The following is a 14,716-nucleotide window of genomic DNA, read 5'->3' as shown; positions in this document are numbered from 1 at the left end:
TCAACTTTGTCTTCTCCATTCCCCATTAACAGTTTTTCTGGTGCCAATACCTTAACACCTTGCAAATTTGTTTCATTCTTTCCTTCCCTGTTGTCACTACACTAAATTCAGGCCACATCATTCAGCTGGATTATTGCAACACATTCCCAGTGGTCTTCCTGTTGCTAGCCTTCCTCCACCAATCCATTCTGTACATGTCAATCAGAATAATTTATCTAAAATAAAAAACAGGCCAGGTGCAGTGGCTCATGCCTGTAATCTCAACACTTTAGGAGGCCAAGGCAGGTGGACCACTTGAGGTCAGGAGTGCAAGACCAGCCTGGCCAACATGGTGAAATACTATCTCTACTAAAAATACAAAAAATTAGCAGGGCATGTGGTGTGCGCCTCTAATCCCAGGTACTCGGGAGGCTGAGGCAGGAGAATAGCTTGAACCCGGGAGGCGGAGGTTGCAATGAGCCAAGAGTGGCACCACTGTACTCCAGCCTGGGCAACAGAGTGAGACTTTGTCTAAAATAAAATAAAATAAAATAAAATAAAATAAAATAAAATAAAATAAAATAAAATAAAATAAAATGAAAACCAATCATATAACACCCCATACAAACTCTTTGAGTGACCCCCAATGTCTTAAAAATAAAGTTTGTCCTCTTCAGCATGGTTTATGAGGCCATTTGCAATTTGGCTCCTTCTAATTTCCCTCGTTTTATCTTTTGTTCCCTAAATGTTCTTCAGCCATACTCTATGACGAGTAGATTGGAGCACACTATTTTCCTGCATTTCTTGGATCAACTTCTCTATTTGCATGCCTGTCTATCTCCCACTTCAATGTCACTTTTTCTAGGAGCCTGTCTTAGTTCATTTTCTGTTGCTTATAACAGAATACCTGAAACAGGGTAATTTATAAGGAAAAGGAACTTATTTTTACAGTTATGGAGGGTGAGAAGTCCAAAGTCAAGAGATCACATCTGGTGAGGGTTTTCTTGCTGGCAAAGACTCTGCAGACTCCTGAGGCAGTGCAGGTCATCACACAGTGAGGGGGTTGAGTATGCCAGCTCAGGCTTCTTTCTCTTCTTATAAAGCCACTGGCCCCATTCTCATGATAACCCATTCATCCATTAATGAACTCATCCATTCATGAGAGCTATCACCTCTTAAATGCCCCATCTCCCAATACTTCCACACTGAAAATTAAGTTTCAACATGAGTTCTAGAGGGTACAAATATTTAACCAATAGCCTAGGGGTATGGTGGAGGGTCTGTATATAATTATCCAAAGATCACTCAACTTGATCTTACATAAAATCCTTTATATTGCACTAAAAACACCTGTTAATCATCTGTTTCTCATTACGTATAAGCTCCTGAAGGCACGGGTTATAGTTTTCTTTCCACCACTGTATCTCCAGAAATTAGTACAATGCTTGGCACATAAAGTGCTCAATAAACACTTTCAAATGATACAAGAAATAGCTACTATTTAAAACTCAAATTTAGCATTTAAAATTTGTAACCTGATTTATTCTATTTTAATATGTCCACATAGGCATTTATATGGGTTGCAAACTGTTAATTCCTCAAAACACTCTTTTGCATTACTTGCTTAGTCTTTTTTCGTTTAATGTAAGTACCACAATCAATTATGTTTTTCATATTCAAAAGAGAATTAAGAGGAAGACCATGAAATAAAATGCAAAAGAAAAGTTAACTGGGAATAATTAATTTATCCCTATAAATGCCATGATTTTGTTGCACAAACACTTTTCTGAATTAAAATTTTAGAAAAGGAAATTGCAAAATAAGGACATAACTACCTGGTATTGATATACTCAGGCCTTAAAGAGACCAATAGATTAAGATTTAAAATGTTGCTTTACCAGTTACAACAGCTGTGACTTTGAGTTAAATTACTTAATCTGTCTAATCTCCCCTGCTCCACTCTTTTTGGAAAGAAATAAAAAATACAAGGAAACATCTGGCACTTTGCCAGTGCAAACATGCTGCTCACAGAATGGTTGCTATTAAGACGACATGTTAATCGCAGAGCTAAATAGCTAAATGCATTCGTCTAGGACAGCATATGGATTGACTGTGGCGTCAGAGTGTTCTGGGTGCGGTGGTGGTTCACACCGATGTGGTGGTATAGATTAGAATCTCAGGATTCCCCCCAGCTGAGATTTTGATTTATTTGGTGTGGGTGACAGCATTTGGATTTATGAGAAATTGTCCAGGTTATTCCAATATGCAGTCAGTGTTCTAAACCACTGCCTGAAGCAGTGCCTGTCAATCATTAAAGTGCATATGAATTACTTGAGGTCCTTGCTAAAATGCAGGTTCTGCCTTTGTGGGTCAAAGGTGGGGCCTGAGAGTCTACATATCTAAGAAGCTCCCAGGTGATATTGATACCTCCGAGTTCCCAGACCACTCTTTTGGTGTCATCCCATCTCCTGAACTTGACTGGGCTCAAGGCACTGGGCAGTGTGGATGACCAGACTATGGGGATGCATGTGACTGTCTCGGTGTGAGGTTCACCAAAAAGAAATGTCACCATATCAGCAGAGGACTGAATGCATCTATATTCTATATACCTATTATAGGTTGTTATCACTATGTAGGCAAAGGTAGGCGTCTGCCCTGCCTTTGTACCTTACGCCCACAGCCCACATTTCTCTGCTTGAAGATCTTTTTTAAGAATTATTTTCTTTTTTCCAGCCGTCTTAGCAATATTCTATTTTTACCTGATTTCACTTAATAAAAAGTTAGAGAATTTCACATTATATAATTTGTTGCAGAATCCCTATCCCTTGACATATCCTAGCATGGTGTATGCACATAAATTACTTGGTTGGACATTTGATCATTTCCTCCTTGAGCAGGGCATTGGCAAATTTAGACTTCAATTAAATCATCATGCAAAACCATGTAATATGAAAACACAGTTGCATATTTTTTCCATTATTCTTGTGAATTTAATGGAAACAAGAATAAGAATTGCATCAAGTTGAGGTATCAGTGGAATCACAAATTGTATCTCCTACAGGTTTTGCCATATTGCAACTTTGCAGTTCCAATTAGGATGGACCTCTGTGAATTTTAACCATAAGAAACCATGGTACCTGACACTTGCTGTTGCAGTGTTAACCTGCATACAAGATGAGATATTCAACTACATATCCACTAGGAGAACATCACTGGTTTAGGATATCAAAACTTTTTGCCTAGACTAGATAGCATGATCTTTATGTGACTCCTGCTGCCTGTGGATGGCAACTGCAAAACATAGTCAAAATCATGTAAAAAGAAAATACTATATGCATGCTATACAAATCTCACTGGGATGATTATAGGATTATTCTACCCCATAATGCATAGAATTTAATACTTTGGAGCAAAATCTGGCTCCTGTGGAACTCGAGATCTTTACCCGTATAAACTCACCACGTGTAGATAATCTGTCCTCTGGGATAGGTGTAGAGTATGATGTAGCAGTCACCACCATAGAATTCACCATATGAGTTTTGGTCAACTTGGATCCTACCATTGTTTTCTACACGCCAAATCTGGAAGGAATGGAATATATACAACAAATTACAATTTTCTTGATCTAATAATATTTCTCATAAGCTTTAAATAATTTTTGGTTCAAATCCATTATTAAACAACTTTTAAATTATTTATTAACTAGTTTACAAATCAAGCAAAGAAATTGTTATCGATTTGCCAATTTATTGACATTTTAACTACTTTTATGTGTCTTTTGCTTCCTCTACAGTATTAAGCTCAGTTCCGAGCCCATTGATTAATAAATACTTATTGTTTCATCTACTAGTGGAAATAACATGACACTCCAGTGGAATAAAAAACTGCAAGATTCAGCTCAGAAATATATATCTATTTTATAGTTAATTTTTTTCTTCAATTATGAAATAACATATATATATATTTTTTTCCCTGTGCTTTAAGATAGCGGACTATTATTTTCCCAGGCAAAACTTGATAGACTGTGACCAAATACTAAAAATGCTACAACACACTGAATGTTTGAGTCCCTCCACAATGTATGTTGAAATCCTAACCTCCAGTGTGATGGTATTAGGAGGTGGGACCTTTGGGAGGTAATTAGGTCATGAGGCTGGAGCCTTCATGAGTGAAATTAGTGCCCTTATAATCAGAAAGCTCTCTAGCTCCTTTTCCACCATGTGAGGATGCAGCAAAAAGTCTATGAACCTGAAAGTGGATCCTCCACCAAACACTGAGCCCATCAAAACCTTGAGCTTAGACTCCCCAGCCTCCAGACTGGTGAGAAATACATGTTTCTGCTTAAACCCCCAATCTATGGTACTTTTGTTATAGTAGCCTGAACAGACTAAGACCATGCCAATAATATGACTTCTGTTTTTAAAAGGTGCCATCCAGGAATAAGACCGAAATGTGATGCTGGGAGAAAAGCAGGCAGAACCACTTTCATTCTGCCTCCTCATCTTCAGCACAGATTAAACACCCTCCAACTTGGAGAGATGAGAATTGTAGATGAAACAGGAGAGTAACAAACGAAGGAGAGGCTGCCAGGCACTGTGTGTGTACATGCAAGCAAACACACACACACACACACACACACACACACACACGCGCGCACACTTGCCTAAGTTCTCAGTTGGGAAGGGCAGACTCTTTGCTTTGAAATCTGAAGATAAGCAAGTGGACAGGAACAGTGCAGTGCTTCTAGAGAGAGGCCACCCCATACTATCCTAGTGAGCAGAAGCCTTAGATCCTAGAGAGAGCACAAGATCCGAGAGAGAGCCCCCAGATTTCAGCAGCCCTAGGATGGCACAGGAGAAGGCTGCAGCCAGGACACAGCTGGTGCTGGGGACCAAGTTTGCCAGGAGGGCTGAGCTCTGGCAGGAATGTCTGAGCAGGAGACAGATGCAGACCCAGAAGTCAATACCCCTCTGACAACAGCCATGAGGGACATTTGTGACCTTCTCCCTTGGCACTTCCCACTCTCCAACACCCATGCCGCTTAGATTCACGCTTCACGTCTTTGAAAAGAGGAAAAATTATTTCCCTAATTTCTTGACCATATACTTTGGTCCAAGAATTGTAGTAAGCCCTAGGAATATAGAGATGAAATATTTCATTCCTGTCCTCAAGGAATCGATGAGAGCTCTAGGAGAAATCTGGCAGTAAATGAACAACTCTGTGGTAGGTATATGATAAATTATGTGAGAAGTATCGCTAGAGGTTGAGCACAGAGAAAGGCCACTTCAGCGCTGAGGGAAGCCTTCTCAGAAAAGGTATGGCTTGTGATTTAACTGAGTTGCCAAGGAGGCGTAGGAACATTAGCTAGATGGCAGAGGGGAAGTCAGTCCTCAAGGCAGTGGAAGGGTGAAGCCAAGATGACGGAAAGGGTCAAGGGTCCAGCTGAAGATGGATCTTCTCAGGAAGGCTGTGGAGAGCCATTAAATATGTATAAATATATTTAGATATACATTTATAAATATATATGTATATATACACACAGATATATGTGTATATATACACATTTATGTGTGTGTGTGTGTGTGTGTGTATACACACATTTCTCACTCTGTCACCCAGGCTGGAGTGCAGTGTTATGATCTTGGCTCACTGCAGCCTCCACCTCCCAGGCTCACGCGATTCTCATGCCTCAGCCTACCAAGTAGCTAGGACTATGGGCGAGCTCCATCACACCTGGCTAATTTTTGTATTTTGAGTAGAGGTGGGGTTTCACCATGTTGGCCAGGCTGATCTCGAACTCCTGTCCTCAAGTGATCTCCCCCACCCTCCCCCTACATACACTGGCATTAATGGGCTTGATAAAAACAAAAACAGGTAAATACCTCCACTTTGCCAGAACCATCATCCACCATATTGTGCTGGGCTGCCATCTGCGGAGAACTGTGTAATTTTGAGGCATCAAAGGGAATTTGTTTTATTTGAGCCACTTTCTCTGTGACATAAACTTTCCCGAAGCCATCACTCTGATCTTTATCTCTCCAGTCCTTAAAAAACTGTTTGAAGATTGGTGTTTCACCTCCTTCTGGAAGAACTTGAATCTGAAATTTAAAATAATAATAATAGTAAACAGGAAAATAAGAAATTAAGGGAAAATATGAATCTGGCAGTGGAGACAAAAGTAAGGAAATGGAAAATTATCCTGGTTTAGCTATCAAGCTCATATAATCCAAAATTGCTTTTTCTCACAACTAAAGTAATTGCCGCTGAATTTGAATATTTGAGAGAAGAATCAAGTTCTTTAATATGTTACCCCTGCAGTAAAATAAGTTTGTCTTTCTACATAAGGTTCACAAGAGCTCTGTGACCTGGAAGAAATGATCTCATTGTGTTCCTTGTGCAGGGACATAAAAATGAGGAGAGTAGATGAGGCTGAGAGATTCGGAAAGGAAAGGAGTAACTAGCCAGGGTCTAAATTGATTTCGATGAAGACAAATATCATCTGGGTTTCAGGCCAAGTCTGCACAACTTGCTCTAAGGAATAATAACTCTTAAGTGCTCTTAGCTAAACCTACTGTGGTTTACTATCTTGAATTAAAGGCTGTGGAGGAAGTGAATGGGCAGCTCTATGGAAAGTCTGATGTGCAGTTTCTAAAAAATTCTAACCCCCACGCAGATAAAGAAGAGGGACACCAGATTGCAGCAGACAGGCAGGTGGAGAATCACTTCACATACAGACGTTACTTTGACCCAAACTTTTTCATGAGTTTCGTGGAGATGTCATGAGCTCCAATGTTTTCTATTTTTTTCTAGCCAGTTCAGTTTCACACATACTTGGGTATTCTTGGAATAATTCATTTGCTGTAGAAATTCTTCAGCTGTCTTCATTGCAGCCTTCCTCTCTTGGGGATTAGCATCTTTACCTAAAATACAAGGTAAATTAAAGAGAAAGAACTTCAGAGAAGGAAGACATTCTATGATTAAGAAATACTTGTGTACCATAATAAACATGATTATAATTGAAGTTAAATACAGCAGTGAAAGAATAGCAAAATTGGCCGGGTGCGGTGGCTCACGCCTGTAATCCTAGCACTTTGGGAAGCCAAGGCAGGTGGATCATGAGGTCAAGAGATCGAGACCATCCTGGCTAACACGGTGAAAGCCCATCTCCACAAAAAATACAAAAAAATTAGCTGGGCGTGGTGGCGGGCTGCACTCCAGCCTGGGCGACGGAAAAAAAAAAAAAAAAAAAAGAATAGCAAAAATTTCCTGGTATATTAAGTGTATTTAACAATACAGGAAAAAACGTTATTTGTAAAACAATTCTTTTTATATTGCCCAAATGCTTTTTTTTTAACTCCATAATCCCTGGTATATGATGTTGGTAGGAGGAAAATGGCTGCATTTTATGTGAGACATTTATAGATCATGTCTTAATTAAAAGGTGGGCTTTTTTTTAAAATCAAAAAATATATTTTATTTACCCTTATAGAGGAAATATCTATAAATCTGAAATACAGCATCGTCAATGGAATTTTTTACCTTTCCATACGAAAATTTGTTTGGCAGCCCCGTGGTCCAAAATAAAGCATTCTTCAGACAGCAGCATTGCCATTGAGAAGGGGTTTTCTTCTGCCACCACAGTCACTCTCATGGAGCCACTTGCATCTGAAACCTAATATAAAAACCATGACCTCCATGTTTTCATTTGGGGATGATAAGGATGTTCTATAATTAGATTATGGTAATGGTTGTACAACTCGGTAAATGTCATCAAATAAAAAGCATTGAATTGTACACTTTAAATGCAAGAATTTTATGGTGTATAAATTATATCTCAATAAAACTGTTTCAAAGAAAATGAAAAGAATCCACAAGACTAATTATACTCTAATTTTTTTGAAAGTCCTTTGGGGTAAAGGAACTACAAATAAAAAGTTAAGTTTTGACACTGTGCCTAAAACATCAGAAAAGAATAGTGATAATAATAATGGCTGAGGTCTATTCAGATGCTCTTATGTACTAAGCATCATGTAATTAACTTTCCATGATTATTTCTTGTACATTTTAGAGTAATCTTTTCAAGTAGGTAATAATCTTAAAATCATTACATACACACAAGATGAAGTTTAAACAATCACTCAGTCAACATTTACTGTCTACCATATACCAGTCGCTTTGTTAAGGAGGATATTGATATAGTTTATGCACAAAGATTTTTTCAACATAGGTCCTGCAATTTAAGTAAACTTTGTATAAATTATCAAAGTAAATTTCTTCTGTCACATTTAGAAATGACTACAGACTATTAAAACAAATTTTTAAGTGGTCTTACAAAATTGAAAGTGATATTCATGTGCAGGTTAGGATTTACTGGTTTTCAATGGCCAGCTTGTATGCTACAGTTTAGTTACCTATTATACAGATTCCAGAGCCCTCCCTAGATTAGTGGAGTTTTGCAGGACCAGGGTGGAGTCTGAATTCTGTAGTTTTGAAAATGCCCCAGGTGATTTTGCTTGCCAGCCTTGTTAAGAAACCCGAATTATTTTCAAAGGAACTTTATACTTTATATCCATGTAATACAGCATAGCTCCACTAGAGGAAGCTATGACTCAGGATGAATATTTTCCCATTTAAAAATACTTCTTTAGTTCATAATGCTGTCCAGGAGGGAGAACAGTTTTGGTTGATGATGTGAAATAAAAGATATCTGTTAGGCTGTTGAAAATGAGTTTTAGAAATAGTAATTTTTAAAAGCAGTCACAAAATATTTAGCTAACACTTTCTGTATGGCTCATATTAAAATTACCAGTATTTAGCAGAAATGGTAACCATATTTCCTTTTGCATCTAGAAGAAAAAAAATCCACTTATTCATTATGAAAAGGAAATTACGCTAAACAAGTTATTAATTTGGTCTTCATGTAAAATCACAGAGTTTCGGAGCCAAAAATCCCTTAAAGAGCAGCAAATATAGTTTCTTTCTGTTACAGATGAGAAAACTACTAAATTCTGCATGGAGATTTACGATCTGCTCCAAATCACACGCTTAGAAAGTTGCAAGGGGAGGGAACACTGGAAGAATACCACTGTAGCAACCTCCTTAACTGGAGTGTCTTGCAGTTTTTGTTACCCTCAACAGAAAAAACAAACAAACAAAGAATAAAAAAAACTATAGAGTTGGAAGGAACCTACTTTCTTTGTTGTGTGTGCATAAGAATACTTAGACCCAGAGTGGTTATGTCCTGTGCAAAGTCATGCTCCTAATCATGTGCTATAGAGCTGATATGGAAGTAGGTAGGTTAATGCCTGGAACAGAACTGTTTTTACCCTGTTTCCCTCCAGCTGTTTCATTTGGTAGCTCAGCCCTCCTGTAACAAAGAACTCCTTCATTATGGCTAAAGACAATGTTTTAAATAGGGTGAAGACTTTACATTCTTATCAAGAATTTATAAGAAAAAGCTGATAAAATATTTTTACTCCATAAAGGAAACATTGTATTGAGTATTATATATCAAAAGATCGTTGCAAACTAGTACAGCAACAATATATAATTTTATGAAGTCACAGCAATAAGTTCACATATTTGTTGTTTTTCATAAAAATAACAAAAAGTATTAAAACTTAATTAAAAAAACATACAAGAGCAAAGAACTGATTCTATCTACACATTGCTCTTGGAGAGCAATGAGGAGAGTTCTCAACTGCAGCAACGGGAATCCCGCCCAATACAGGCCTCCCTAGCTACATCCAGTACTGTTGAAACAATAAATTTGGTTACAGTGAACTCACCATGTATAGTTTAGCCATTTTCCTGTTACTTATGTCTGCTATAATGTCATCATCATCACCTCCATCTGGAAGCTCTGGCTTTTCCCCTAAGACCTGGAAAAAAGTGAGCAGTGGATGCAAAGATAAAGATCTCCCATTGAAGGATGCAGAGTTAGAAAAATACACTTATAAAGACATGGATTATAAAATATTTGCAATTAAAATGACCAGGCTCAAACACTTCTCATCAATGCATACAAGGTAGTCCTTTTCATATAGGCCAAATCAATCAATTGCATTAAGTAAACAAGCACTGAGGTTGCTTGTTTGCAACCTCAAACAATGAATTTCAAGAAAGGAAAATCCCTAATTTGAGAGCCTAGGTGTCCATATTACTGAAAGCTAGAAGGAATTAATTAAAATTTGAGCTCTATGTTCAGCTCTGCAGCAGAATTTCTTCTATGACCTCTGCTTCTAGAAATAATCTCTCAGTTTTATGAGTTTATTATAATAAAGATTTGAATCAAAATTACTATTTGGAGGTAAAATACTACTATAATTATTGACATATAGGATGAAGTGCAAGCTCTTGATCACCCAAATCATGCTTCGTTTTCTGCTGTATCCTTGGCACTTGGAACAGTTCTTGGGACATAGTATACGCAGAGTAAGTGTTTGTCAAAATAATGAATAAATGAATTTATCTATTCTGTGCATATGTGATGCAATCCAAAAGTCCAAAAAAGTGTTTGGTAGAAAATACATTTGAATCTGCTTTGAATTTCTTTATATTAAAATAAAAAATATGTCTATGAGTACCTTAATTAATTTATTAATTAACACAAACAGCATAGAATGTCAAGGACAGGAATCAAATATAAACTTATTTTAAATAATTTAATTTTTATAATATAGATATAAATTCAAGTTTAGAAAATGCAAAGATGTTCATTTAGATACAACAAATATTTAACACACAATAAGTTCCTTACATAATGTGTTTTATATTCGCTATTCCTTACAATATATTGCATAAAAATGTGTACTGCAAAATACCAGAAAACAATAAAAATGTACTTTAATCCTTGCATGAGTGTAAGTACACTCTCAAATTTAGAGATGCATCAGAGAACTTATGTCCTCTGGGAACATACCTATCTTTTTATTTGTACTGTGATCAATAAAATGTTTTAGATACTGTACATGCTAAATGATTGTAATGCAGTTTTTCTTTTTTTGCTAAAAATAGAATCAAGCAAAAAAAAAAAAAAAAAAAACTAAAACACTTGTGACCAAAAGCTTTTTAAAAAAACACTTTTGCTAGAAGTATGTATAGCTTGTAAGAGCCATCAAAGATCTCCTCACATATACTTTTCTAATTCTCCTCCAACTAAGACCATAGTTAGGAATAAACAGTTTGTGTTAAGGGCATATCTAATATTAGGAAACCTCCCAGTGGGCGGACCCAGTCTGGGATTTGAGGCACACTCTAACTCTTAATTTTCAGACCACAATTCCCATATTAGCCAGGCATCTTAATTAGCTTCTCAAAGGACTGCAGCATAGTTGGGAATTGAACCCAAGGGATTTAGCAAAAACAGGCTTAACTCCAGAGGTAGAGAGATGCCATATATTGTCAGGTATCATCTCTAAGGATCACTTTAAAATTGAGCTCAACTAAGCATTTATCAAATATTTGAGGTCACTGGGGTATATAAATGAGTTTCTAACCATGTTGTCCAACACTTAAGGGCTTTACATCTGGCGTAGAAAGAGCAACATAACTAAATATGTTCACTTTATCAACTAGGCCATACATTTTGATCTTTGACATAAACTGTAAACACAGCTTGGAAGATCATGCCTGAATGTGAAACATTTTCATTTTGGGTTGCCCACGCGATTGGCATTTAGCTCATGTAATCCTTTGTATGTGAAATAACATATATTTTGACAATTTAATGGGGTACAAACACAGAGAAGCCTCATTTGAAGGTGTTACATAAAAATTTCGTCAGTTGTTCTAGCCAAGATGTATCTTGCAAGTTTGGAGCTCCTCTTTCAATTACTTTCTGTAAGTTTCTGTTTAAAAGTATTGCCGTCATCTAAATACTCCAAACTGAACTTATTTTCTACAAAATTAGCCACTCTCAATTCTCCATTTGTGTCAATGTATCTCTATTCTCTCCTCTTTATATGGACTTAAAATTATGTGGTCAGTTTTAAATACTTCCTCTCCTCCAATTTGGATCTCCTACCCACTTAGTCATTATTATTATTTTTAATCATGGTTAGTCACTGATTCCTGTTTATTCCTGGACACTGGCTGCAAGGCCCCTTATTTCACATTACTCCTATGTTGTAGGAATATGACTCTAGATCAAGGAAATCCTGTCATTTGCAACAACATGGATGAACCTATTGTATATTATGCTAAGTGAAATAAGCCAGACACAAAAAGATAAACAATGCATGATCTCATTAATATGTGGAATCCAAAATATCCAATTCATAGAAATAGAGTGGTAGAATGGTGATTGCCAGGGGCTGAAAAATAGAGGAAATGGAGAAATGTTGGTGAAAGAATTCAGACTTTCAGGTATAAGATAAATAAGTTCTGGAGACAAAGTATAGTATGATGGTTACAGTTATTAATAATGTAGTTTATACTTGAAATTTGCTAAGAGAGAAGATATCAAAATATTTTCATCACACACACACAATGTGAGTTGACAGATGTTAATTATATTGATTGTGGTAATCATTTCACAACTTATACTTCTATCAAAATATCACATTTTGTATATGACATTTTGTATATGACAAAGTTTGTACATATATGTCTATCATTTGATAGATATATATGTACAAACTTTGTCAATTATCCCTTTATAAAGCAGGAAAACATTTAAAATTTATTTTTAAATTTTAAAAAACTAAAAAATAAAAAAGATTTATATTTTACATCTGCTGCAGTGGTTCCTGAACTTCAATGTACTCAAGTAACACCTGTGTTACTTTGTAAATACAGATTCTTAGCTGCCAGCCATTGAGTAAATAAACAGGTCTATGGTGAGGCCCAGGAATCTGCAATCTAGATTATTCTGAATTGGGTGCTCCCACTGACCCAAAACTTCTGTCTGAAACCCAAGTCCCCTTCAGATGCTGAATGTCATCTACCCTGCCTTATTTCTCAGCATTCCCTACCTTGTACCTGTCTCTAATCAGGCTGACATACTCGGCATTCCATATGGAAGCCATGCCCATTCTTTCCCCGTAGCTAGCTAGGAGATTAATAATCGACCAGCTTCAGAGTTTCTCATGACCTGTCTCAAGACCACCCTTGGTGTTTGTTTATTTCTTTCCCTACTATGATCCAAGGTGAACTTTTCTTTTTAAAACTTAAGCAGGCTTATGTGGAAATTTGTATTTTCAGATAAAAGGATCAGGCAGCCAAGAAACAATTGCTATACTCTTTTACTCTCTTAATCCTTAGTTTTTCACAGCATGTACCTCTGTTTTTATTTATTTATTTATTTTTTACCTTTTAGTCAACTTTACCTACTTTGGATAAAAACTTCCAACATTTACACTGGCTTGTTCTCAAGATGTGGTTTCCCTTCTTTATACAAAAAAGTCAAGATGTTTGGCCACTTTAGAATAAATATTTGTAATGCATCATAAGAAAACAATAATGATGCATGACCTTGAAGAAGCACAATATGTAACTCAAAGCTACATATCACTGTGGATGAAAATGTGCCAAGCTGGTGCCAAGTCCTAAAGGCATTTATCATTGAGGGTCTTATGTGCTCCCAGCAGAACTCTGAGAGAGAGGCAGAACCTGTATCATGATTACTTTAACTTCATAGATTAAGAAAATGAGCCTGAAGGAAGTTAGGAGTTTTGCCTTAGATCCGTGTCTCATAAATATTAAAGCAAATATGTAAACCCCAGGCCTTCTAACCTCTACTTCAAAGCTCTTTATATAGAAAATGAGGCATTTCATTCTTCTCATCTTAATCATTTTAGGGTAGATGACTCTGTTTTATTTTCACTAAAAACAGAATCAGCTCACAGGTTCCAAGAATGAACATTTTAATTTGTAAATTCTGTATCTTACTTCTTTTCCTTAACTGAGAAACAATCAGTAGAGTGTAACATAGGGAGCATAGAAATAAATTGTAAGAGTGAAGCTAATCCTTGTTGTTATGGTATATTTACTTGCTGCAAGGCATTTTATGCCTTAGGTAAGACAAATATTTGATATTAGGGAAGATCCACAGAGATATAAAATGACCAGTTATTCCGAGAAAGCTGTGGTCTTATTTAGCCAGCTCCACCCACTCTGGATATAAGATTCCAACATTTACTCTGCTGCTCTCTCTCAGTGATGGCCTCAAAAATACCTTTATTCCTTTATTCATAAGTAAAATAGAGGGTGATTTCATATATTAAAGAATGGATAAAGGTATTTTAGAGGAGGGAAAGCATGTGAGGTATTTTAGAGGTAGGAAAGCATATTTGGATAAAAAGACAAAGTGAACTGGGCTTCTGCAAGAGATTTAGCTATAGCGCAGTGCTGTCCTGTAGAAATTTCTGCAATGATGAAATATTCCACATCTTTGCTGTCCCACACAGTTCTCACTAGCCATTTGTAGCTAATGAGTACCTGAAATGTGGCTAGTGTGACTGAGTAGCTGAATTTTACATTTTATTTAATTTTAAGGAATTTAAATGTAAACTTAAATAGTCACTCATGTCTTGAGGATGCCAGACACAGAGTGCAGCCCTAGAGGCCTCAGGGAATGCTGTGGCAGTGGGGAACTTATCAGGCAGGACTGGACTTCAGCATTCCTAGAATATCAGCGTATTAGAGGATAGATGTTGAAGGGTCAAACTCATAAGAAAATTACCCCAAAAGTTACTATAATATGGAAAGTTACCTTACAAGTTACTATAACACAGAA

General features: G+C 36.7%; 1 protein-coding gene across 3 annotated transcripts in view; it reads right to left on the bottom strand.

The window, feature by feature from the left end:
* SCIN (scinderin) overlaps positions 1 to 14,716 on the bottom strand; it is an 89,463-nt gene that overhangs the window by 27,522 nt on the left and 47,225 nt on the right. For all 3 annotated transcript variants that reach the window (NR_156701.2, NM_001112706.3, NM_033128.3), the window contains 5 exons: positions 9,768 to 9,860; positions 7,519 to 7,651; positions 6,811 to 6,899; positions 5,862 to 6,077; positions 3,439 to 3,560 (listed from right to left, as the gene is read on the bottom strand). Coding sequence is in view for 2 of the 3 variants with exons in the window: in NM_001112706.3 (NP_001106177.1) it covers positions 3,439 to 3,560; positions 5,862 to 6,077; positions 6,811 to 6,899; positions 7,519 to 7,651; positions 9,768 to 9,860 (653 nt within the window). In the remaining variant the exon portion in view is untranslated. The remainder of the gene's footprint in view (positions 1 to 3,438; positions 3,561 to 5,861; positions 6,078 to 6,810; positions 6,900 to 7,518; positions 7,652 to 9,767; positions 9,861 to 14,716) is intronic.

Source organism: Homo sapiens, chromosome 7, assembly GCF_000001405.40.
Source record: "Homo sapiens chromosome 7, GRCh38.p14 Primary Assembly".
NCBI classification, from domain to species: domain Eukaryota; kingdom Metazoa; phylum Chordata; class Mammalia; order Primates; family Hominidae; genus Homo; species Homo sapiens.
This window is presented reverse-complemented; position numbering and strand designations above follow the sequence as displayed.